The 26,914-nt window shown below is 34.4% G+C and overlaps 1 long non-coding RNA gene across 1 annotated transcript in view, besides 1 other annotated feature; it reads right to left on the reverse strand.

The window, feature by feature from the left end:
• The window catches only part of LOC105376755 (uncharacterized), a 673,333-nt gene that overhangs the window by 175,400 nt on the left and 471,019 nt on the right, over positions 1 to 26,914 (reverse strand). The window lies entirely within an intron of this gene.
• Positions 2,340 to 2,543: a silencer, noted in NCBI's record as "fragment chr2:195768635-195768838 (GRCh37/hg19 assembly coordinates)". NCBI's record gives its function as "represses an EF-1alpha promoter that drives an FKBP-Casp9 reporter gene in an ReSE screen in K562 erythroleukemia cells {active_cell/tissue: K562}" and the evidence as "EXISTENCE:reporter gene assay evidence [ECO:0000049][PMID:32094911]".

Raw genomic sequence — 26,914 nt, forward strand, 5'->3', positions numbered from 1 at the left:
ATCATATGTGAATGAATCCAAGTCTGAGAAAGACTTTAGCCCAGTTCAAGTATTCCTCTTTATTTCTGGAACCTTTAAAGATACATTGCATCAAAGCACAAAACCTGTCTGTCAGCTGGAGCCATTATAAGTGGGACAGATTTTCTCTCTTGCACACTGTTCAACCAATAGACATCCAATGTGGGAAGATATTGAAGATTCGCATGGTTATTACTGGTTTCATTGTACCCACATTACTTTGCGGATGAGGTCTTCCTTGAGCAGAGTAAAATAAATCATTGACTTACTATAATACTTCGGTAAAGAAAACCATAAGATAATGGGTATCTCCTGTTATGGTGTTCACCTGAAAACACTGAAATACTTTCTGCCTTTTTGGGGTTTTTATTATTGATCTAAAAGTTTTGTTTCCCTTTGCAAGATTTTTAAAAATCATTTTTTATCATTTTCCAACACATATCTCCCCAGGCATTAGTTATCCATGATTTCCAATATATCATGTTATACTTGGAGATACTTTCCAAATATATATTTCCATTATGATGTTTTTGCTCCTATGTTTGTTTATGCTTGATCACCTACAATGTCAGTCTTCTCCACTGGGCATCACCTAACAATGATGCTTTCAACAGCAGAGGTATTTCTTTAGTTTAGGTTTCACATTATGCATTATGAATTAGAGGTAGATTTTTGTTTGTTTCATTTTGTTTGGTTCTGTTTTAATATAGCCTTGTACTGAATCACACTAAATGGCATCTATGGTTGAGGCTTCAGGATCGGGTCTCGGTTGACAATACTTATCAATGTTAACATATATGTTAGAATTAAGGTCAAATTGTGATTTTTTTTCAGAAGCTCATAAAATACAAGTCCGTTTTAAAATAATTTATTTGTAATTTAAATATCAGGACAAATTATATTAATTTTCAAATCCCTACTATGATTTTTCACAGCAAGCTACTTGTCTATTTTCTTTGGACCAGTGAGCTAGCTGGAAATATATTCTCCCAGCAATGGTAGAGGCACAAGAGGGCACACTCAAATACAAAAGCATATTAAGCATTGACCAAAGGCATTTTTCACTTTCCCATTCACTTTCTTGAGGCCAAGTTGTGGAAAATTTTACTGCCCCATGAAAAGTTTGGGGGGAGTAAATGAACTATTTTTGAACAATAATATAATCAAGTGAAAGTGCTATTATATATTCCATTTGAGCCAGGACGGTAGCTTGGAATAGGTGATAGTGATGAACATGGAAAGAACTGTAAAGCTGCTGATATTTAGAGAGTGATATAGATAGGATTAGGGATGGCTATGATGACTCTGGGAGAAGGTTTGTTGAGAAGGTGCCAAGTAATATTCCTGGGATATAACTTGAATAATTTGATTGCCTTGTTTGGGCCTTCACAGAGCGAATAGTGGAAAAGATGAGGCTGGTTTTATGGGTGGGGGTGCAAGGTTATAAATAACTGTCATTATTTTAATGATTTTTATCACTATTATTGTTGTTATTACCAATTTGAAAAATTGATGAGAGGATACGGCCTTCAGTGCTATATTTCCCATGCTTGGCGCAAAAACTGAATTTTTATGTCCCCCTAAAATTTATACATTGAAGCCTAATCCCAAGTGATGGTGTTTGGAGGTGGCCTCTAGGAGGTGATTGGGTCATGAAGGTGGAGCCCTCATAAATGGGATTAGTGCCCTATAACAGAAACCCCACAGAGCTTCCTCACCCCTTCTGCTAAGTGAGGACACAGTGAGAAGATGGTCATCTGTGAACCAGGAAGTGGGCCCTCATCAGACACTGAATCTGCCAATGCCTTCATCATAGACTTTCTACCCTCCAGAACTGTGAGAAATAAATGTTTGTTGTTAAGCCACCCGATCTGTGATATTTGTGTTATAGCAGCCCAAACAGACTAAGACACTTGGGCATGAATCTATTTAAGGATCCTAAAATCACTCAGCTATGTCCAGGGCTACCATTTCTTTCCTCCAACCAACAGTACCTATAGTATTGTTCATCCACCCTTCCTTCCCATCTTTGTATTGCTATGGTCACCCACCAGTAAAAATTACTGCACCTATTTACCATGTAGAAGTTGACTTAGATCCCATTCTCACCTTCTGTTATAAAATTTTATATGTATATGTGGACATAAACACATATATGTATTTTTGAGTTAATTGTCCTAGTTTTTGTACTGGGGACATACTTTCATTATCATCCTCTAATTAATACTTTCAGATTAGTAAATTGGTTTGATCTTAACTCCAGTTTTTTGTAGTTGTTGTTGTTGTTGTTGTTTGTTGTTGTTGTTTGAGATGGAGTCTCACTCTGTCACCCAGGCTGGAGTGCAGTGGCGCGATCTTGGTTCACTGCAAGCTCCGTCTCCCGGGTTCAAGCGATTCTCCTGCCTCGGCCTCCTGAGTAGTTGGGACTACGGGCGCCCACCAGCATGCCCGGCTAATTTTTTGTATTTTTTAGTAGAGACGGGGTTTCACCGTATTAGCCAGGATGGTCTCGATCTCCTGACCTCGTGATCTGTCTGCCTCGGCCTCCCAAAGTGCTGGGATTACAGGCGTGAGCCACCGCTTCCGGCCCAACTCCAGGTTTTAATTTTCAAAAATATGTTGTTTCCAATATTTCTGCCTAGGTTCATCAATTGCATCCATAAAGCAAGTATTACAGCATCTCCCATACCAAACCCAGACATTGAGATACTCTTTCCCACACTGACCTCAGCACCCTGGAGTCCTACTTGTTCAGGAGGTAGAATTGAGAAAAAAATTTATATAGATTTAAATTTTGTATTTTTAAATGCATCCAAATTGTTGCCATTTTGACAAAAGCCTACAACATTAAATAGTGTGAACTGCCTTTTGGTAAAATATGAAAATATAGAACGTTTTTACTATGATAATAGTAAACTATTATTACTATGATAATTGTTATATTCAACCTAGAAATCAAAATGAGGCTTAAAAAACAGGATCAAGAAAATATGGCTTGTTTCCACTTAAAATGTTGTTACTACTGCAGTACTTAAATTGCCCTTACATATATTAATGGTCTGTACCATTTAGCTCAATACGAGTTCAAGTGCATCTAGATCTCTCTCTCTCTCTCTCACACACACACACACACAAATGCAGACTTGTGCATACACATTCAATTTTTGACAAATTATTTAGCATTTTCAGCACAGCTGCACGGTGTATTTATTAATTGCCTGTAAAATCAGCATAATATGTTCAGTAAGTGCCAGCTTGGTGTATATTGTACATAATCACACATTTGAGCCACACAGTTGTTTATGTCACTTTATAATCATGCTAATAATTACCAGATAACTAAATTATTCCACAAACTATAAATGTTATATTTAATTACTTTCTCAATTTTTGCATGTTGCTATGGAGATTAAATTGCTAACTCAATCCATAAATTCATTTCTTTTATAATTTCCATCTGTATCAATAAGAATGTGGAATGAATTAACAAAACTGGGAAGCATGTGCAAACAAGTTAGCATTTTCTTGATATGTTTTCTATTCACATAGCTTCTATAGGATACCGTGAAAATTTATCAGGTTCTCTCTAACATCTTCAAAGCATTCCTGAGTGCTGAAAATTAAAGGAAGAGGAATAAAATAAATCTTTCATAAGATACAATTTCCACCTTCTGTAAGGAACTAACTAACTGATTAGAAAACTCTTTATAGGTTAAACCAACCATTACATTTTTATGATTCTGTGTATTTCTAAACATAAAAAATAAAGCTTTCTCACTATAATCTATCCCCATACAGTAAATATTACCATGGTCCATAACAAGTCTGTGTAACAATTTATCATATATGTTTTTTGTTTTTTTGTTTACAGTATCTTTTTATGGTGCTGAAAATTTCCTTAAGAATATTTCTTCATCCAAAGTTGTTTAAATCTTAAAAGTATCTTGTGATAAACACTGCATATGTGCCAATATTTTGCATAAAACAGCCAGCATTCATCTTACAAATTTTGAATATAAGAATTTGATTTGATTAAAATGAATTGCTCTTCTATTAGGTAGCAGGTATTGGAAGTATAAAAAAACACATGGAGTCAAGATCACTTGAAGATTCTGATTGTACTGAGAAATTTAAAATACATAAAACATAATAAAATCTTGAAATTTTGTATATACAAATATAATGTGTAAGTATCGTTCTGGAGTGACAATATCCCCCAAGGTTTTTGGGCTTATCTGCCCACTATATATTTGGGAAGAGATTCACACTAAAATATCCCAGTTCATTCCAGGTTTATTTATAAATAGGGAAAGTCTAAGACACTAGAAATGCTCAAACTTTGATTGGACTAGATATACATAAATGCTATCTATTGATTCATTCATAAATATTCATTTCTGCAACTGTTGATTCAACATGAATTTAGAAAATGCCCAGTAAAATAATAACATAGTTGTTACAATGTTACTATCACTTTTATAGCATAGTGCTCCAGGTTTCAGCAAATGTTGGGGAGAAGACATTAAGTGAATGCAAGAAACTGTAGTGGGAGATAGAATGTTATTAACGTCATAATATAAACAAGGAACTAAAAAACTCAAAAGAGGAGAAATTTAAATTATTTAAACCCCCTGGAAAGACAAAGTTTCTTCTTTGTAAAACTGAGCACTCTATATAATAATATGTAATTAAATATCAAAACATGTGGCCAAATAATTCCAGATAATATTAAATCTTCCCTGGAGTATTGATAAAGTCTACCACCTGGTTGTATTGCTTCTAGTCTGCTCCTTCCAAAGACAAACTCTAGACAGAAATTGGAGACATTTTTCTAGCACAAATTGTGTATACTGTCTTTCTGCTTCTATTTTCCAAGTTTTCTCTAGAATTAACTCTAACACCATTAATATGGCATGAAAATAAATTCTGAATGACATCTTTGCTTAGCTCTCTGTTTTCCTATTTTAGCACTTTCTCTTTACCCTTTATCAATATCACCTATATGGAATTTTAGTTTAGGTCTCAGATACATCTTTTATTTAGCTTCTGGGTCTCTACATTTATTATCTCTTCTTTCTAAAAATATTTTCTTCCTTTTTGTGGATAGATTCTAGTGAAGCCACTTGTCATTGATTAGGAATCACTCCTTAAGAAAATGTTCCCCACGACTTAAAATTGTATTAGGTGCCCTTCCTGTGTCTTTATGTAGTACTGTGCTTTGCCCATGACAGTATAGATCATAATTAATTTTCTTTCTTTGTCTATTTTCTCTGTAAGACCGTAATTTCTTTGAGGGCTTGAATTTCTCAGCCCTAGTGTTATGTTTCTCACAGTCTTAGATAATAAGTAAATACATAGTAGTATTCATTATTCAAGAAATCTTAAAATAAAATAAAAATTAACATAACTTCCTTCACTAAAGATTCCTGGGTCTAAAACCTAAATCTTTAATGTAAATGTCATCTTCTATGCTCATGAACCTTATCTAGTCTCAATTATCTAATCCATGTATAAGACTAAAATATGAAGGGAAATGATAGACAATGCAGATTATAATTAATTTTGCATCTAATCAATACATAACTAAGTTAGCAATTGTTCATAGAAAAGTAAGCTTACCATTAAAATTCAAAAATCAGGATACTAACAAGATTCTTCTTTATTTCATTTGTATTTTAGATTAAACTAGGAAAAGATAAGCAAATTAGCAAGGAAATAAGATATTAAAGCACTGTGACAGAGAAAATAATTTTTAAGAGTTATTTTGCCAATAAAAATATCAGTTAAAATTGTTTAATACTATTGAAAGTTATCTTTATATATATTCATACATATATATATACACACACATTATAGCAATGCTGATTAATACTTGTTATTCATATTATGGATCTAATAAATTCCCAATCCTAAATTTTTCCCTACCAATCTTTACCCCTCTTCAGATACTATTTTCTTCATTGTTTACTAAAAAATCCAACAAACTGCCAAATGTTTCTGGAGGCTTCTCTGTGGTGTGGGAAGACAGTCACTCTCTCAGCCAGCCCTGCAACTTTGATATTGATGCATCTCTCCCGGGGCTGCAGTGAAGATAAATTACCAGTTGTCATTTTTCTAAAGTATGCCTTTTAGCTCTTCAGACTATAGTAAATGAATAAAATGACTTAAAATAGTAATAAATTGGGGTTTATCATCAATGCCATCCCTGCAGTGGCATGTCAATATCAAAGGGCACACTAGCAAAGAAAACCACTAATACTAAATTTCAAGCTGAGATACATCTTGCCTAACAACCGAGAGAGAAAAAAAATCAAGCCTCGTGAGGGAAATAGCAAGTGATCGCAGGAAAATTAAGAAGTGAAAGAGAACACTTAAAGATGTACGAAAAGGCAAATTTGGTCTAAATTTTAGGCCAGAGAGGACTTTTCAAGTACACCTGACAATTCAGGTGCTTAGATTGCAATAAGAGTTCTCAGTATGAATCCAATTTGTGCAAATTTATATCTGTTGCATAGTTGGTTCTCAATAAATACTGCTGTAATAGTTCAGATAAATCTGGATTTCTATCATGGATCTATCTAGCGAAAGGATTTGGTGACCTCTTTGGAAAGAAGCCATGCTAAATGATAAAAGCAGAAAGTTTGAGTGTCATATAATGGCATTTATTGAATTATTGGAGGCCAAATTTATGAACGTATATCTGATTCCTGAGTAAGAGGAGCTGTACATAGAAACAGAAAGGGCTATTTCACTAAAAACTCTGTGACATCTGGGACATAGGAAACACTTCTTTGGGTCTAATGTAAAGCAAGTGAAGTGAGAGAGAGAAATTATTCTCATGTTAGTGCTAAGACTGTATAGTTCTTCTGTTTCAAGAGCACCAGAGTGGAGAATGCAAGTTTGGTACGTATCAGAGAGATGCAGTAACTTCTATTGAAAAACTTAAGTCACATGAGTTTCTCTTTATGGTAGGAGACCATATTCTCCATACGGATAACTAGTATTACGTGCATTGATCAATTAAGAGTAACAGTGTCTGACACATAGTAAAAGCTCAATAAATAACAGCACCATATCTTTTCTTCTATTTACCTGTACTCCTTTGATGATTTTATTACTTCTCATAACTTTAAACCTGTAACCCTGTGACTCAGGATATATTTTGAAGGTAAAATTAACAGGAATTGCCTGGACTGGTTATAGAGGGTGGTGAAAAGGGAGAAGTTAAATATGACTCCAAAGATTTTTGTCTGACCAAAAGAAATAATTGAATACCTATTTACTAAAATGAAAAAAAAAAAAGCCTGCTGTTGATAAGGTTTTGAGGTGAAAGCAAGATTTCAGGTTGGAATGTATTGTGTGACATGGTTTTTAGTCAATCAAGTATTATAAAGTCAAGCTGAATCGAGTTGAAAATAGCAGTCAGTGCTAGATATAAATTTGGAAGTCATCAAATATGAGAATTAATAAGATCACCAAAAAAAGATGTGTTGACAGAAAAGAAGAAAAGTTCCCAAAATCTGAGCACTAGGACATTTAAAGTTTTAGAGGTCTGAGAGGTGAGAAGGGATCAGCAAAAGTGAATTCTCACAGTGATGTTAAAAATAAAATAAAATAAAGGAGAATGCATTACAGTAAAAGCCAAGTTGAAGAAAGTGATCAACCTCTGACAAATGCTGCTCATCTATGAAGATGATTTCTCAGAATCAGTCATTGAAGCCAGCAAGGTGAAAAATCACTGGTGACACTGGTAAGTCATGGCTGGCTAGCCTATACTGTAGCTTTGTGAAAATTAGGGGGAAAAATTCTATTTCCACTGGGTAGATAAAGACCCACATCAGGGTGCATGGTAAAGCACAAGCTAGATTTCATCTTCCATTTGCTACATACACTCGAGTAGTGAGAATATGCAGAACGAGCTACATCCATGTAGATAAAAATGATTTCAGTGATGTTGTGGATCTGAGAAAATTATTAGGGTAGATTGAAGAGATAATATGATGAGATAAATTAGAAACATAAATGTGGAATAATTATGGAAAAGAAAATTTTGCTATTAAAAGAGAGAAATAGAGTAGTAGTTGGTGAAGTAGAGGTATCAAGTGAAGATTTTATTTTTAAAATTATAGCAGATGTTGCCAGTGTCCTATTCACATAGCTGCAAACTCATTTTTGTTGTACACACTGGCAGTTTCCTATTGCAACTCTATCTTCTTCGCTAACTGCAGGAGCATGCACAGTCAGGTAGGATGGGCTGGAGAATATGCCTCAGCAGGTATTACTCAACCAAGGTGGGTGGAATGGGTAAGTACCCTCATGTCCTAAATTATTTTTATGGCTAATGTCCAAACTCATGAATCTTCTTAGATTGTGTTAAAAATAATCTATTATGTTGTGTAGCAGAGCAAATCAATGCATCTTGTGGTAACTGGAATGTACATCTTCTCCCAGTAAATAATTTTTTTCTTCATTCCAATATCATAGAACACCACAAATAGTTTGCTTACATTTGGCAAACACAGTACATTATTCTGCCTCAAGGACACATCAGATTTTGCCTTGTATCTTATTTAGTTTGTAAGGATTAGGCTCCTCACCAACACATTGAATATTTTGATGCAATCACCACTGGAACTTGGAGAGTGGGAAGTAGCAAGCACCTTGGATGCCTTGGGAGTACTCATGGTTGGAAGATAAATCCTGTCATAAAAGAGGTACCTTTCATCTCAGTGATTTTTCTGTGAAAATAGTATTCTGAGACAGGCTGAAAAAAAATTCCCATAAAAGGAACATCCCTAAATGATGCAAAACTGTAAATTCAATCTATTTAATTATGCATTTTTACTAATACACATACAAGTGTTGTGGCATTGTAAAGTGTATTATTAATGACACAATATGCAATAGTATAAATTAAACACAAATACCTTGACAATTTCAAAGCCATAATTTTATTTTATACTTCAGTAAAATGGATTAGGAAAAATGGATGTTTTAAAAGTATACACACATAGCCAGGGACAAACATACACTCAAAGATTATATGTTACATTAACAACAAATAAGAGTTGTTTTTTTCTCCAAAACACAGATGTCAGGAGTTTAAAATATTGAATTCACATGTTACTAAACAAAATATAAATGTTTAATGCTAATTAAAATAGCATTGTTTATGTGAAGAAACTAAGCACTTCTTTCTCTTTTTAAATCATTATTACCCAATTCATTTAAAATGTAGTTTATAAACAACCATGTCTATGGCATAAGCAGCATCAGGAATTAGGAAACCACTTTTAAATATGAATACTAAATACAATATTTCTGAAAACTGTAAATTCTTAACTTTGATTTTATACTTATAAATTTTTATCCTCATTTGTTATATTTAGTGAATTTTTATCTGATTGTTCTCTCTGGCCCTGGGAGACTGAACTGTATTTACTTCATGAAATAATTAAAAACATAATTATTCATTGAGTTAGAAATATAAAAACATTAGCAAAATATCTGAAGGAGTATTTTTGTCCTTAAGGTTTCATATTTACACAATTTAAATTATTGCTAGTAATTTGCCTCTAATAAGCTGGACTCTACTTTTCAGAAAGATTATTTAACAAAGTTTTGAATTATAAGTAATATGTTTTACATATGAAAATATATGGCAGATCTGAGAACAAGTAAAATAAGAAAATATAACAGTATTTATATCATATAAAGAGATAATATCTAATATTATATACCTATGTATGTTGTATATAAATGTAAACAAATGTTATAATTTATGGTACAAAATCTGTGGGCTTGCACTGCAAAATTAGGAGATAGGTGTTAATTAGTATTATTTTCCTCTTCTACCTTATTAGTTTCAAAAGAGACATACTTTTCACCTTGTCAATTTGAACATACTTGTATCACCTTTGGGCTGGATAAATAATTAATGATGAGTAGATCATTTTTCTTAAAATGTTGTTTATGATATCTTTATTGTTTCAAATTTGGGGAATTTAATTATTTTACACGCAAAATAACATACTTCTACTAAAAGTATGTGTTGAACATGAAAGGCCCTGAAAAAAAGAGCTTTTCAATTCGTATCTAACAATATGTTTCACTCATCTTTATTATAAGAAAAAATTTTCCAATTTAATTTAATATGTAACTGAGGATACCTTTTAGTTTGATGAAATTAAGCAAAATGCATAAGCAGCTAAGACTTAACAACTTGAAATAAATTTAGGTAATATTCCAGGAGGCTATACTCTTCCAGTTACATCTTCCTAAATGTGAGTGGATAGGAAAACCTCAGTAATGTCCCCTTATATTTTAATTAAGTTTTTATTGTCCCCATAGAAGCTAAAAACATAGGCTGATTGTTATTAGTAATCAAATTTTGGCTATAAAGATATGAGTAAAAATATTTCAGGCCTCTGCAAATTTAGAATAACATAATTCATCACCAAAATGGAGTGATTCTTCTGGGATCAACATGTATGCATCTACTCAGATTATCAGTTTCTGTATGCCATATTTTGACCCTGCCTATTGTTTAAAAGTTCCTAGGTGTTGGAGTAAGAATGAGGCCTGAGTTTTCATCTTTATTTTTCTTCATAACAGCCATGGAAAGGGCCTAAATCCTCCAAACCTTAATTTACTTATCTGTAAAAGTGGAATAATTGTATCTTTTTTGACAACACATTCTATTGGTAAGATACTCTCATACATTTTCATGTAGGGAAAATTAGCAATGTCTAAATAAATTACATCTGCATTTGTCCTTTGATCCAGCAATCTCACTTGGAGACATTTATCCCTAAGATGGAGATCAGCAAATACTAATCAACAAATGCAAAAATATATATGGAATTTCCTTGTTTTGATGACATTAGACATTTTTAAAGGGTACTAGTCAGGTATTTTGTGAAATGTTTCTCAATTGTAATTTGTCTGATTTGTTCTCATAATTACATTTTGGTTATGGGTTTTGATAAGGAAGACCACAGAGGTAAACTGCCAATTTCATCGCTTCATATCAAGTCGACATCCTATCAACATGACTTCTCACAGTGCATGTTGACTTCTCTTGATCACTAGGCTGAGGTAGTGTTTTTCCAGTTTCTTCACTAAGTCACTCTCTTCTTCCCTTTATCCACACTGCACACTTTGGAAGGAAGTCCTTATGTGCAAACCAGACTCAAGAAGTGGAGAGTTATGCTCTCTTTCTTGAGGATGAAGTATCTAAAATTGAAATTTATTTGAAATTCTTCTGCTCAGATTTACTTCTTCTCTTCCATTTATTCAATAATTGATTTATTTCCGCATAGACTCGTGGATATTTGTTTCCGTGGTTTGAGTTATAGTTTAATTCTGCCTTATTAACATTGTTGCTCTGATTGTTCCAGCTCTGACCAGCTCTTTCAGTGCGCTCCTGTGTCCCATGTGCTTATCGCCATCACTCACATTGTGTAGTGTGTGTGTGTGTGTATGCATGCGTGTGTGTGTGTTTGACCATTCCCTTCTTACTCTTAGGCTCTACAAAATGCTTCATGCTTGTCTTGTATATTTCCTGCTACAGTCCTAGAATCACCCATTTCCCCAGGTTACCTAGTTCCTTTATTGAAGAATGGTATTTGAAACCAAGATTTGGGCACTCTATGTGCTAGCTGCTACTAGGGTATGGTTGTTTCTAGGCCCTCTCAGCTGAGAGCAAGAAAATAAATTTGTGTATACTAACCCATGTGTATGCAAATACCTGTAAATATTTTTCTATGAAGCCATCTTATATTATGCTAAACATGAGTTCATGCTGTTTCCAATCCTAATCCATCACCATATAGATTATGCTAGCTTTCACCCCTTACTTATTTCCAAATTCCCAGACCAACAATAAGAAATGTGGCTCCCACCTCCACCATACATTTATGTAATTATTCCATCTCAGTATACATGAGTAGCAGTATCAGAATGTTACACTGTCCTCCAGTGAGAGACAACTTGATCAGTTAGAGTACCATGCTTATGTATAGCTGAATTTGCCTTAGACATATAGACTCTATTCTCTTTTACTCCCCGCTCCCTTCAGCGAGGTTATTTCGTGTATTTGTCATATAGTTAAATTGTTTCCACATTCTGCATTCCATATTGGTATCCCTGACCTCCTAAATTATTTTATTATTTGTTTACATTAAAGTTTACTCTTTGTGATGAAAAGTTATATCGGTCTTGGTAAATGCATAGCTATTTCTCCACAATAAAATGTTACATAGTACAGTTTCACCTCCTTAAAAAATCCTATGTGCTTCACCTATTCAACCTTCCCAGCTTCCCCAAAACAAGGGGCAGTACTGATTTTTGCTATGTCTATAGTTTTGCCTTTTCTAGAATGCTGTATAAGAATCATACAGCTTATAACTTTTTAGAACTGACTCCTTTCACATAACAATATACATTTAAAATTCATTCATGTCTTTTCATAGCTTAATAGCTCTTTTTTTTATCATTAAATAATATTACATTGTATGAAGGCACCACAGTTTGTATATTCATTTGCAAATTAAAGAAAATGGTGGCTGCTTCTAGTTTGGGGTCTACATAAATAAGGTTACTATAAACATTCACATGCAAGCTTTTATGTGGACATAACATTTCAAATCAGCTGAGTAGATACCTAAAAAGAGAGATTGCTGGATCTTATGGTAGGTTTTTCTTTTGTTGTTGTTGTTGTTTTTTGAGACGGAGTCTCACTCTGTCGCCCAGGCTGGAGTGCAGTGGCGCGATCTTGGCTCACTGAAAGCTCCGCCTCCTGGGTTCACGCCATCCTCCTGCTTCAGCCTCCCGAGTAGCTGGGACTACAGGCGCCCGCCACCACGCCTGGCTAATTTTTTTTGCATTTTTAGTAGAGACGGGGTTTCACTGTGTTAGCCAGGATGGTCTCGATCTCCTGACCTCATGATCCGCCCGCCTTGGCCTCCCAAAGTGCTGGGATTGCAGGCGTGAGCCACTGCGCCCGGCCCTTATGGTAGGTTTTTAAGAAATTATCAAACTGCTTTCCAACTTGTCTGTAGCCTTGAATGTCCACCACCAATGATGACAGTCCCTGTCGCTCTGCTTTCTCTCCAGCAACTATCATTGTCAGTTTTGGGGATTTTAGATGTTCTAATAGGTGTGTAATGACATCTTGTTGTTTTAAGTTGAAGTTCTCTAACGATAACAGATGTGAAGCATATTTCCATATACTTATTCACCATCTATATATCTTCTTCGCTGAGGTGTTTATTCGGATGTTTTACCCATTTTTAACTGGATTATTTGGTTTATTTATTGTTGAGTTTAAAAACTTCTTCGTATATTTTGGATATAAGTTCTTTATCACATTTATGTTTTCAGATATTTTCTCTCAGTCTACGGCTTGACCTTTCATTCTTATAACAGTGTTTTCCACAGAGTAAAGGTTTTAAATTTTAATAAAATTCAAACTCTGTACAACATGAAGTCCAAGTATTTATTTTTATGTTAATTTTATATTCCAGTAGGTGACTGAATAGTTTGAATATTTATGTTAGGTTTATCACTGATCTCCTTTCGTTTTCTAGTTTTGCAATCATCTCATCTGAAAATAGAGTTTTACTATTTTTGCAATCCTTATTCTTCAAATTGATTTCTCTTGTCTGATTACATTCACTAATAAATCCCATACAGTGCTAAGTAGTGAAGGAGATAATGGGCATTCTTGCTTTGTCTATACACATTTTAATTACTCATTAACAATTTCCCAACTTATTACATTATCTAGTTGATATTAACTTTACTTAATAAAATTTAATGATTGAAATTATCTGTCATCTTATTATTATGATTCTCTCAAACACAGAGTGAAATGTATTATCCTATTGGACAAACTATAATTATTGTTCTCTATATGGCGCCTCTCTTGTTTTATTTATGTATTATGTTTGAAATCCTGTTCTTTGTTCTTATTTTATTCTCCCAAATGCAAATACTTTATTGAATTGAATTAATATTCTTAAATTTTTATGTCTATTAAAAATATGCCAGGGTGTCTTGTGAGAATATGTTAAAGACACATAAATTATGCCTTGTTAGCAAAATATTCTGTTTCTTACTTTATTCATTAAGTATTGTGTTTTTAAAAGTTTTGGTCCTACTAAGTTTACACCTAGCTTGTGTTTCAATTTTTTAGAAGTCTATAGCATTTATCCACCATAATTTATTTGCACAATCTCCACTTAGAGACAAAAAGATCACTTTCAACTCTCACTTCATCATATTTGGCTTCTTTTACCCTATTTGTGATAATATGGAGCCAGATGTGAAATAAATGTATATAGAATATAAATATAAATAACTTACAATGTACTGAGATGCTGCACATCAAAATGGCCTCACCAGTGTAAACTCCCACAAACACTGGCTGATTGTCTGAGTTTTCCAAAATTCCTACTACTACTTGGCACCATTCTTAAATATATATAGTGTGTGTGTGTGTGTGTGTGTGTGTGTGTGTGTGTGTGTGTGTGTGTTTTGGTTGCTTTTTTTGTATTTTCTATTTTTTTTTCGCTTCTGCCTGATTGTGATGTTTAATTTTATGTGTCAACTTGGCTAGGCCAAAATATGAGACATTTGGTCAAACATTATTCTATATATTTCTGTGAAGGTATTTTTGGGGTGGGATTAACATTTAAACTGGTAGAATTTTAGCAGAGCAAATTGTCCTTTGTAATGTGAATGAACATCATCCAATCATTTGAAGACCTTAAGAAAACACTGAACCTCCCCTGAAGAGGAGATAATAATTCCAGAAGAATAAAACTGTGTCTTTGGACTCAAACTGCATCTCTTCCTTAGGTCTTTAATCTGCCAGCCTACTCTACAGGTTTTGAGCTTGCTAGCCTCCACATCACGAGTCAATTCCTTAAATAATCTCTCACTCTCTCTCTCTATATATATATGTATATATGTATACACACACACCCCACCCTGCAGTTTACTGGTTTTGTTTCTCTGGAGAACACTGACTAGTAAACTGACTTTCATAATATTTTTAGTGGCTAATATATTTGTATCTAAATTTTTTGGTAATCCTTAATATAACCAAAGTTATTTCAGGTGTTCTATTATTGCAAGTTTATGAGGAATGAGTCATTTTTCTGTTTTTTGACCCTTATCAATTACGTTTCTTAGAATTACATTTCTTCATGCATTTTGCAAATGTCTTAACCTTTGATTTGAAATTCTTTGTTTTTCCTATTCTCTCATCTGCTTTCATTGTACCCATTTTGGAATTGCTTTCACCTGGCTCCCTGTCACTTAGTCTAAAACTAGGTCTTATATGTAAATTCCAAACCTACAATGACATTGAGGATAGATAACAGGACCTTGTCACTAGCCTCCTCTAAGGTATACAACTTTATATGGGACATTGTTCAGTCAATGCCATAAGAGTTTGATTTGCTTCTTTGTTTGTTTATTGCCCCCAGCCCTACCACTACCATTCTTGCTTTTTAGCAGTGATCTTAGTTCTAGTGCCCACTTTCTGATAAGCAGTATAAGTACTTGTTATACTATGAGAATCAAACATCCATCTGCCTTTGTCTGCTTAAAGAGTTGCCATAAAAGCCCAAGCTTGAGCCCTTCCCTGGACTCTGTTTCTTGTCCACAGTCTGCATGAATAATTTATTGTGTCTAGCCATTACAGGATAAGTTTCAAAACTCTTAACACAGAAACGTTCACCATCTTTAAAATGTTAGAATATAAAACAAGCACCACTGACAGACCCCAAATGAATAAAAAACAAATAAATAATGAATGGGTAAACATTAAAAATATGATTACATTTACACTTTATAGCTGTTAAGAGAGAGGTTGGTGGAATATAGTAGGCAAGAAGAAATCATAATTTGACAGCTAAGTAGGATGTGTTTTATCATCTTTGAATTTAGAAAAGAATTAGTGGAGAATGTGGGATTTTAAGAACTGCATAAAAGAGGGGAAAAAGAGAGCTGAGTATGCTAACAAAGAATTCATTTTACTACATTACTCTACATATTAGTATTTACTTCTTGGTTAGTTTTGTAGCAGTTTGCCTTATGATGTTCTCTTTTTGCTTAGGTAAGCATTTCTGAAGTTACAAAGTCTATAAGATGTTTTGACAAAAGGAAAAAAAAGTATTTTTACACTAGAGTTTTAGAATTGCCTTATTTTAATTACTCTTTTCCCTTGCCTCCAAAAAAAAAAACCTGAACAATATTACCTACTGTGAGACTTTTCTGTCAGGTGGAAAATTATATAACCTAGTGGAAAACACAGCTGATGCCCTTCACTGTATATGGAAAAAAACAATAAACCTGGCACACACTGTTTTCTTTGTCTTGCTTTATGAGTGATATTTCTCCAGAGATAGCCATATCTGGACATCAGGGTTACTTTGACAATAGTTGGAATAAAAGACTACCCGGCTGAGATCTTGGACCAGATGATCTTAAAAAGTTCTTAGAACCATGACATTATATGATGCTTTGCATCAGGCACTGTAATGTGGTAGAAATAACAAGAAATTTTAAGTAATATGATATGAATTTTATATCTGGTTTGTCATTTACTAGTTGTATAAACTTGAAATCCATGAAGCTCAATCTCCTAGTTTTTAAAATGTGACTAACAATACTTACTGTCTGTTGTGAAAATACATTGAAAGAACGAATATAAATCACACACTAAAAATGAATTACAGACCAGGTGCGGTGGCTCAATGCCTGTAATCCCACACTTTGGGAGGCTGAGGCAGGCAAATCACTTGAGGTTAGGAGTTCAAGACGAGTCTGGCTAACATGGTAAAACCCCATCTCTACTAAAAATACAAAAATTAGCTGGGCATGGTGGTATGTGCCTGTAGTCCCAGCTACTCGGGAGGCAGACCATGAGAATAACTTGAACCCAGGAGGCAGAGGTTGCAGCAAAAGAATTATATTTTCTCTCTTCTATAAAATAGAGGATGACTGGAGAAAATTTTAGATAATTGTGGTGTTTTAAGATATTGAAATATAATTTTAAGATACTGAAACACAATCACTTCACTTATGAATCAGCTAATGGAAAACACACATTCACACAGTTTCCCAGTATCTCTCTCTCTCTCTCTCTCTCTCTATCTCAACAACACAACACACTTACCTTGAAGGATTATTTTAACAGGGTATCTCTACCTCCTTCCTTTTTTGGCAATAGCTTGATTTTGAAACTAATAAAGTTTTCTTTATTTATCATGAAAATACCACTTTGGACTCACTGAAATTTTTATTACATAAACTGATAAATTTTATGTTATATAATGTAAGGATCAATAAAGACATTTTTAAAATGTACCTGTACACTTAATAAACTAGTTTTCTTTAGAAATATCCACTGATTTTGCTGTTCATCAGAATTTTACACCAAGAGCTGCTGATTAATTCAACTCCTTTGGTGTGATGGCCAATGGATTGTCTGCTTATCAATGTAGCATTGATCCTGTTTGACAACAATGAATAGTCACTGGCATGCTAATTTATGACTTTTAAAAATGTCTGATCTGCTGTAAAGCCACAAAAACTCTACTAAATATGATATGCAATGACCATATCATTACTATGATATCAAAACAACTTTCTCTACCAATACAGGAAATTTTTTTCTTGGATACCCTTTTATAAAAAATTGGTAAAATTTTTGTATATTAGACTAAAATTTCACTTGTAGTGTGTATTTTGAATCTACTTTATTGCTGGCTGTTATTTAAATTATGTTTTCGTATTGTTTGGAATCAGAAGAAATATATTGAGCTGCTTCCAGAGTGGCAAAACCTTCAAAAACTTCAAAAAGAAAATATTTGAACTAACAAAAAATGAATTGTAAGATGGTAGAAACAAAGCAAAAATTAAGAGACATTAAATTTTAATAATAATGACAACACTATCATTTAATTCTCATAACAGTTACTACTCTTCCTGTTTCCACAGATGAAAACACTGAGATAGAGAGAAGCTAAGTAACTTGCCAAAGGCCACCCTTGTACTAACTACTGGAGCTGGGATTGCAACTCAGTAAATCTGACCCTGGAATCTATTATTTTATGCTCTATGCAGCCTCATATTAGTAGCACAAAATTTAGACAACAAAATATATGTGAAAATATCTCTCACATTTCCTGGATAATGTTTGATGAATCTGGATTTAAATTACCTTCAAGACTCATACAAATCAAAGCTTCTTTGAATAACATAATCTTTCATGGAGATTTTTTATGACAAGTTTGATAATTTCTCCTTCTTAGTTTCTGAAAATAATTAGGAGAAATTTATATATTGTAAAGATAAGTGGTTGAGAACTTCTGGTTTCTGGTCTAAGAGGTAAAGAACTTCGAAGTTGTCCCTCCCGTCTCACAAGATAAAAGGTGAACAAACTGAATCAATAACTGTTCTTAGACCCATCAGAAAACTGAGGTTATAGAGCAAACTTCTGACTCCAAAATTGGTGATATAGACAGGTAGATACGGAAAAGCACAGATTTCTAGGATGAAAAGCCCAGGAGCGGTAGCCTGCAGCTGGAGCTAATATCAGTGGGATCACTTTAAGTTATCATTGACGAATTGCTCTAGATTCAGGTTAGACTAACTTGAGAGTTAAAATACTCTGAAAAAGCCTCAGTATTGGAGTGGAGGGGGCACACTCATGTGAGTTTTACCTCCAGGAATCTTGCCAGGCTCTCACTGTGAAGACTGAAGAAAAATCCCCTCATACTCTGGCAGGAATAGAGGGAAAGTAATTATTTTGAAATTGTAAACTAAAAAATAAAATCCTCAGTCACCTAACCACTGATCAAAACCCCCTTGGCCAAGAGAACCCCAGAGAAATCTTGAAAACTGAGTTTCTAGACATAATAAAATGGAAAGTCTCACACGCCTCGTTATAACCCTTCCCTTTTGTAGTTTAGACACAACTGACCGGCATTAATATTAAAATAGAGATAGCAATACTGACAGCACAAACTCTTTGTCACAATAAAGATAGTGAAGTATAAACAAGATCCAAGGCCATGACAGGCAAGGGTTATGTCACCCATCCCTACACTTAAGGGATAAACTAAGTTCTAACTGCCACAAGGTTTTTCTTTTTCTCTTGCAGCCATACAAGCACTGGCCTTGAGAAAAGCAATCTTAAAACAATTGTGGCTCACCACCGGATGCTGGCTAACTGACCCCCCTCTTCTGCAAGCCATAACTATTAGGTTGTTGCAAAAATAATTGCAATTTTTACAAATACTAATACAGCTTTGACAGGACAAGGGACTAATTGCAGTAACTCTCTACTCAAAAGAAAACCACTGAACGAATGGAATTAACAAATCTTTTTAGACCCATCAGAGAACTGAGGTTACAGAGCAAACTTCTGACTCCAAAACTAGTGATACAGACAGGCAGATATGGAAAACCATGGATTTGGCCAGTTTACGTAAAGAGGCCAAAATGCCTTCCTGTCCCTGCTTCACCTTTTGATGTAGAGGGCCTAATTGTGACATTTAAATATTAAGTCATCCCCCTAAAGTGAACATGGTCGTATATTACATGCGTTAGTTCAGTACTCATGCATCAGGACCGCCTTCATGAATATTCATAGCTCTTTCTGTAACATGTTGGATATGGTATACTTGACCAACCTGTTCAGCTTAAATTTCTATTTTACCCCCCTTCTCCCTCAAAGTGCGTGCCTAACAGTCTGCCAGAGGCTATGCTTTTCAGCCTTTTAGGACTGCCAGCCCTCAGGCTATAACCCTTTGTTAGAAATAAAGTCTCCTTTCCAAATTTATAAAATATGTGATTTTTTAAGTTAACAAAATTTACCCAGGGTTCTTTGCTCTTAAAAGGGCTTGCCCTAAGGGATTGTTTTGTTTTGTTTTGTTTTGTTTTGTTTTGTTTTGTTTTTAACTAGAGGCTAACCCAATGGGGTTTTACCAAAGATTAACCTGGGGAAAGAAAAATATCCAACTCAAGTTCACTTAATAACTGACACCAACTAGTCATCAGAGAAATGCAAATCAGAACCACAATGAGCTATCATCTCACTCATGTTAGAATGGTCATTATCAAAAAGATAAAAAAATAAGTGTTGGCAGGGATGTGGAGAAAAGGGAACCCTTACACACTGTTGGTGGGAATGTAAATCAGTATGATATGAAAAACAGTATGGAAGTTCCTCAAAAATTAAAAATAGAACTACCATATGATCCAGCAATCCCACTTCTAGGCATATATCCAAAAGAAAAAAAAATTTAGTACAGCAAATCCTCAAATAACATGATTTTGTTCAACTTTATTTTATTAGAAAGGGGACACTGTCTGTGTGGAGTTTGCACATTCTTCCCATGTCTGCCTGAGTTTTTTCCAGGGATTCTGATTCACTCCCACATCCCAAGATGTGAATATTATGTTCATTAGTGTGTCTAAATGGTCCTAGTGTGAGTGAGTGTGGCTGTGTGTGTGTGCCCTGTGATGGGACAATGTCCTCTCTGGAGTTGACTCCCACCTTCTGCCCCGAGCTGTTGGGATAGGCTCTGGCCACCAGCTACCCTGAACTGGAGTAATTGGGTAAATAATCACCTAACATGTTTTCATTAATATTTTTAAATGTATATATAGCTTACATTTATTTCAATGTTTAATATTAAAAGTGTTTGGGGTTTTTATTTAGAAGTTTGGGGTTTTTTATATGGCCAGAAATATGCCATAGAAACTTAACTCATTTATATCAATTAGCTCAGGGTAAAATTGGTTTTGTTATATGTTGTTTTCTTTAAAGTTGCAATTTCCAAAAATATCTCAACAACATTCAGTGAGGGCTTACCATATATTGAAGAGACATCTGCACTCCTGTGTTTATTGCAGAATTAAATTCACAATAGCCAAATATGGAATCAACCTAATAAAGAAACTGTGGTATATGTGCACAATGGAATACCATTAAGCCTTGAAAAAGAAGGAAATCCTGTCATTTGTGACAATGTGGACTGAACTATTATATATATAACAAATTCAATGGGGGAAAAGGAAACTAACACCTAATGTCAATAATAGAGCAATATATATAGAACTTCTCATTTCCATATCATATCAACACATCAAGAGGGCTCCAGTATAACAACACAGGACTAAGATAACAGGAGAGCCAGAAACAAAGAAAAAATAGGAAATTTTAGGCTCTTACATCACAGCCACAACTAACAACAAATAAAGCCTAAATCCTAACCAGATAAACATAAATATTACACTAAAGGCTCACACACCTTAGTTCCTTTTACCTGATTTACAGTTATAAATATGGTAGAAATAAATCCAACTACATAATCACTTTAAATGCGAATAATATGAATATACCAATTAAAAGATACAGACTGCCAACGTAGATTTAAAAAAAAAATGAGACTCAACTCTACATTGATTATAAGAAAGATAAATGGTTAAGCTGAAAATTTTTGTTATTCAAGGAAAAAGTACTTATTCATCTTTCTTAATATTTACTTTTTTCTATACATTATTTCGATATCTTTGTATCTGGCACATTCTTTAAAATACTTCGCAATGTGAATAACAGAAACCCAACTCAAACTGGTTTAAGCAGTGAAGTGAACATTCCAGACCTTGGAATACATTTATCTAAAAACCTCAGGTCTAAAACCTTGACCTCAACTCAGAACTCAAACTGTCATGGGAAGCTGGTTTCTCTCTCTATCTACTTCATTTCCCTATGTGATGTCATTCTTAAACAGATTTTAAGAGGGCTGTCAAAAGTGCCTAGGTTCAGAGTCAACCAGAAATAGTGAGATTATTTCCCCTCATTTGGAACCAAACTCATTTTGTTTCATTGCTCCCTATGACTTAGGTGGCCATCCCTAATCCCAACATAGTCACCTAAACAATGTAATATACTGTGTGGATTTGGTCTATGTGCAGTAACTGCCACTGGCAACACTTGAGACAAGTGGGAGGAATGTATGATCTTCTGAAGGGAAAAATGTGTACAGTTACTAGGACAAGGGTCATAGAAGCTGGACTGCAAAAATCAATGTCCACTCCATGTAGTTGAAATACAATATCAGGAATATTTTTCTACATTGTATTCAATTTACTCATTGTTCATTTCCACATGGCTTCTAATATGTTACTGGGAAACTGAACTTCTTTAAACCAAACCATACTGAACTGAAAGAATGTGAATTATAATGAATTGAAGAGGTGGATATTGGAGATTCCTCCTAACTGCATGATTTTGTAGGTAATAGCATTAAGAAAGATTAAGGGAATAAACTGGCTTTTCATTCATCCTCCAATTCAAAATAAACAGTAGTTTAAACAGGGAACAATACAAAAACAAGTAATAATTATCTAAGGTATGAAAGTGTTGTTTCCTAGCATATGTGATTTTAAAGTTGCCAAAGGATAGGAGCTTTCTTTGATCATTAGTTTTTGAGCTTTTTGCCATAATGCTGCCACATTTTGCTGTGGTGGTTCTATATAATAGCAATAAATCTTTAACAGGGAAAATATGTGGAAGGACAATTATAAGCACTTCAGAAACATCTCTTGACATTTTTAGAATGAGATTCACGTTAGGTTCACCCACTTCTACATTTAGGCCTGACCTTTTCGTATCAAGAGATTATATCAGATAGGTACTGCACATCAGCAATGGCTAATTAAAACATCTTACTGAAAGCAAGATAGGAAGGGAGAGAAAAATAATAAAAAATGAACATATATTTGCCTCCAATATATACATATTGCATTTTTCCAATCTAATTAGTCAACATCATGTAAAATCTTTCTTGTTTCTGAAATGAAGCATAATCATATTTTACTTACTGAACATCAAGTTGCATGATATGAGAAGATGTTTGTTACGAACACAAAATGAACATTTGATTCTTGTCAAATGGATGAAAAAAAAATTGTCTTCCATAAACACTGAATTTCCTAAGCATTTATACATCTCAGAAAATTTAGAACTTCACTCTCAAACTGCTATCCCACCAAAGCTTAAAAACTAACTAGGTATATAAGATGGAAACATTATTGATGTGACTTTATTGTCTGGGGTAATATCCAAGGTTCGTCATCTCACGCCAAAAAGATTAATGACATAGACATAAAGACACAGAGCAGGTTAAGGAGCAGAAGGTTTAACAGACAAAAATAAATAAATAAAAGAGAGAGAGAGACAGCTTTCTCATACAGAGAAAGCGGGGTGCCCAAGAGGGTTTCCAGATTTGGGGAGGGATGCGATTGATTTTGTAGAGAGGCTTGAGGAGGCAGTGATTGATTTAAATGGGGCCCAGGGGATTGGTTTCACCCTAATCTTTTTTATGCATATGTGGTCTCTACCTGGATGGCACCATAACACCCCTACACTGGCTACAAAGAAAAGGGAGGGAGGAATCCCATGTTGAAATGTACCTGGCTTCCAGGTACAGCTGCTGTCATTTACACATGCAAGCTTCCAGCTTGCTTATCTATGCTTGCTTGCAGCTCGATTTTTCAGGCTGTTCTTTGTTAGAAAAGAAATGGTTTGGGGGCTGCTTTTTATTGAAGGAAAATTCCACTGAGAATTCTTTTACCCTCACTAACTGCCTAAAATAATTTCTTTTTAACTCCTATATTATTATGGGAAGAGAATTATTAACAAAGTCAGAAATTAATGTCAATTACGCTTCCACTGTCATTCATAATTATTGGCTTAATATGAGGTATTCCTACTTTATAAATGGCCATCGCCTAATATTTAATAAGCATAAAAAAGTAGTTTCATATTTCTTATGAAATTTTCAGCAATGGTTAATTTTATTTCATAATGTGAGTTTTAAAGAACATAACTAAGCTAACAATATATTCTATAATAGAATTATAGAGTATTGCCAACACTACTTTGTAAATTTGATTTTATTTTGTTTCCAAACAAGTTCTATGTTTAGCTAAAATTTATGTTTTAGAAAGTTACATTTTAATAACGCAAAGGTACTCAATCAGTGAGTATGCATCTGAATTTTAATCCCTGTTCTAGAAAGACCCCAAACTAGGTTGTGACTACTGATTAAAATTTATAGCTCTCAGTGATTGTCGTATGGCTGGTCACAGTATAAAATAATTATTTGTTCGAGAGGCCGCTGCACGGCTCCTGGATTTGCTCTTCTTATATTTTCTCTCTCTTCCTCCACCAGTCTGACCTTTGGCCTTTCACCTTCTCTATATAACAAAACATAATAGGATAATCAATAACTGTCTAGTTTTTGTGTTAGACAACTAGTTACAGGCAGAAGAGATGAGGTCATCCTACAGAAACATAGCTTCAGGGAATCTGATCCTATTGAAAAATGAGCAGAGAGTACTCAAGGAAGATTGGGCATACAGATAATCTAATATATTACAGAATTTTACTAAAATTTTCCTAGAATAAGATATAAAGCCCATGAAATAAGCTATAGCAGAACAAAACTTCAACTCATGGCCACATTTGATAAATTCAGCAAAGCAATAAAGATACCCTTTTCTCCCATTTTTTTATGTAGAAGGATTGAAAATACATGGATAGATTAAATATAGAGACCCAGAAACAGGTGAGTAAGTTTGGATATATTCACAGCCCCCCTCTTAAGGAGTCATTTTGATATTATTAACTAAAATTATACTCATTCTATATAAGAAAGAGGTGAAGGTTTATTCATATTGAACAACGCATTCAAATGCATTCTGGATTTTAACATTCTATGTTGAGCACCTACCACAGGAACTATTAAGCAAAACAGATGGTTCAACAATTGAAAAGAAAAGACATCCTTAAATACCTCCTGGAAGAGGAGGATCTGGATAACTTCTAACAACACTGATGCTATTCAAAATATACCTAGGGTTTTCAAATAATGTGCCATAAGAACATGAACATGTTAACTACAAATAAGGTAATATATATAATCTCTCATTATGTAGTGAATTTAATATAATGTTGGGGAAAAACAATGACCAGCACTCCATAAATAATATTTAGTAGAATATCAATATCTCAAGTTATAAATACATATTCTAAGGTACAGGTGTTTTATAGTTAAGTGTTTTAACATTAAATAAGAAGTAATGTCTGCCCACCTATGTATTAAAAGAAAATCTTCAAACAAAGTTATAGCAACAAATTACATTTTAAAACGTCAGCATTTGACAAATTTATCTGTTCAGAGAAATTGTTTTTTTCAAATTGTCTATTAAAATCCCAATGGATCAATGTTTCATTACACTGATGTATGTATAGAATTTCTCAGAACCAGGAAGCTCAAAAGGGAGTCTATGTAGGGGTTTCTTATATCATGCTGGGCACTTAGGCATATTCTTACTATGTTAACCATTCCCAACGGCACAGCCCTCTGGATGTCACACAGAAACCAAGTGCAAATCATCAGCCTCATTGTTAGCAATAAACAATGCTGATAAGCTGGTACAAACTGCCTTGAAACTCCTGAGATCCATGCTCATAAAGCAACACTACTTTCAGCACATTTGACTCCAAGCCTAGGGATTAGAGTCATGCAGGTGCATTTCTCATTTCAATGGATCAGTTCTGGCTAATTCCAGGCCTGAATTCCAACCCTAACACCAGAGGCACATAATCGGATATCTGTGTGTGTTTGTGTGTAAAATGTGTGCATGTGTGTGTGTGTTGAATGAATGAATAACTACCTCTAGCTTTTCCTTAAAAACCTGGTTTGAAATTTTAATCCTAATTACCTCCAAATAGAAAATAAACATAGCTGTATTTCATTCTAGTGGCAGAGATGACCAACTATCCACCAAAACTTGTACTTCCCCTGCCATAGATCAGTGCCTTGATCTTTTTGGGCTGCTAGTACAAAGCACCATTAACTGAGTAGTTTATAAACAACAGAAAATTATTTCTCAAGTTCCGAAGACTGGAAGATCAAGATCAAGGCACCTGTGGATTCACTGTCGCGTTGTGAGGGCCAGTTTCCTGTTTTACAGATGGTGCCTTCTCACTGTGTTCTCACAGGATGGAAGCGGTAAGGCAGCTCTCTGGTGCCCCTTTTATAAAGGCACAAATCGTATTTATAAGGGCTCTACCCTCATGACCTACCCACCTCCCAAAGGCCACACCTACTAATAGCATCAACTGGGTATTAGATCTCAATACATGAATTTTGTGGGGAAACAAATATCCGGCATTACTGAGTACTCGTTGGGAAGCAGCTGCCAATCCTAGGGGTACAGTTTCAAATCCTCACCAAAGTCATGCGAGAGAAAGTGAGTTATATATTGTTTGTAGGCTGAGTGAATTAAGAAGCAGGCATGGCTTCCCACTATATGTTCTTCCCTTTACTTTTCACCTTCAGAGGACCCGGAGGCCCTAGCGGGTGGGCAGATCATAAGATGGAAACTGACACTGACTAGGAACACCCACATTGTGCAGTTACATGTGCGAGAAATGTGCTAAATCTATTGTGCTGAATCACTGAAATGTTGGGCTTTACTACTTATGGGGGCCAGTGTTCCTTAGACAATACTATTCCTATTTCAAAAAGACAACAATAAAAATGAGACTATACTACTCAGTTACTCTCTGATGATTACATTTCACTCTCTATATTTGCAGAATTGCAGCACAATGCTTTTTCATTTAATAATATGTAAATTTCAATTCAGTAATCTGTTTTTATAATAATTTGTTGGACACATGTCACATATTCTTCTCTTGATATAATTTGTTTTATTTAATTGTAACATTATTATTTGCTTGTGCATGTGTGCTACATTTAATGCATTTAAGACATTTTACAACATAAGCTGAACGAAA

The sequence above is a fragment of the Homo sapiens genome, chromosome 2 (genome assembly GCF_000001405.40).
Source record: "Homo sapiens chromosome 2, GRCh38.p14 Primary Assembly".
Lineage (NCBI taxonomy): Eukaryota > Metazoa > Chordata > Mammalia > Primates > Hominidae > Homo > Homo sapiens.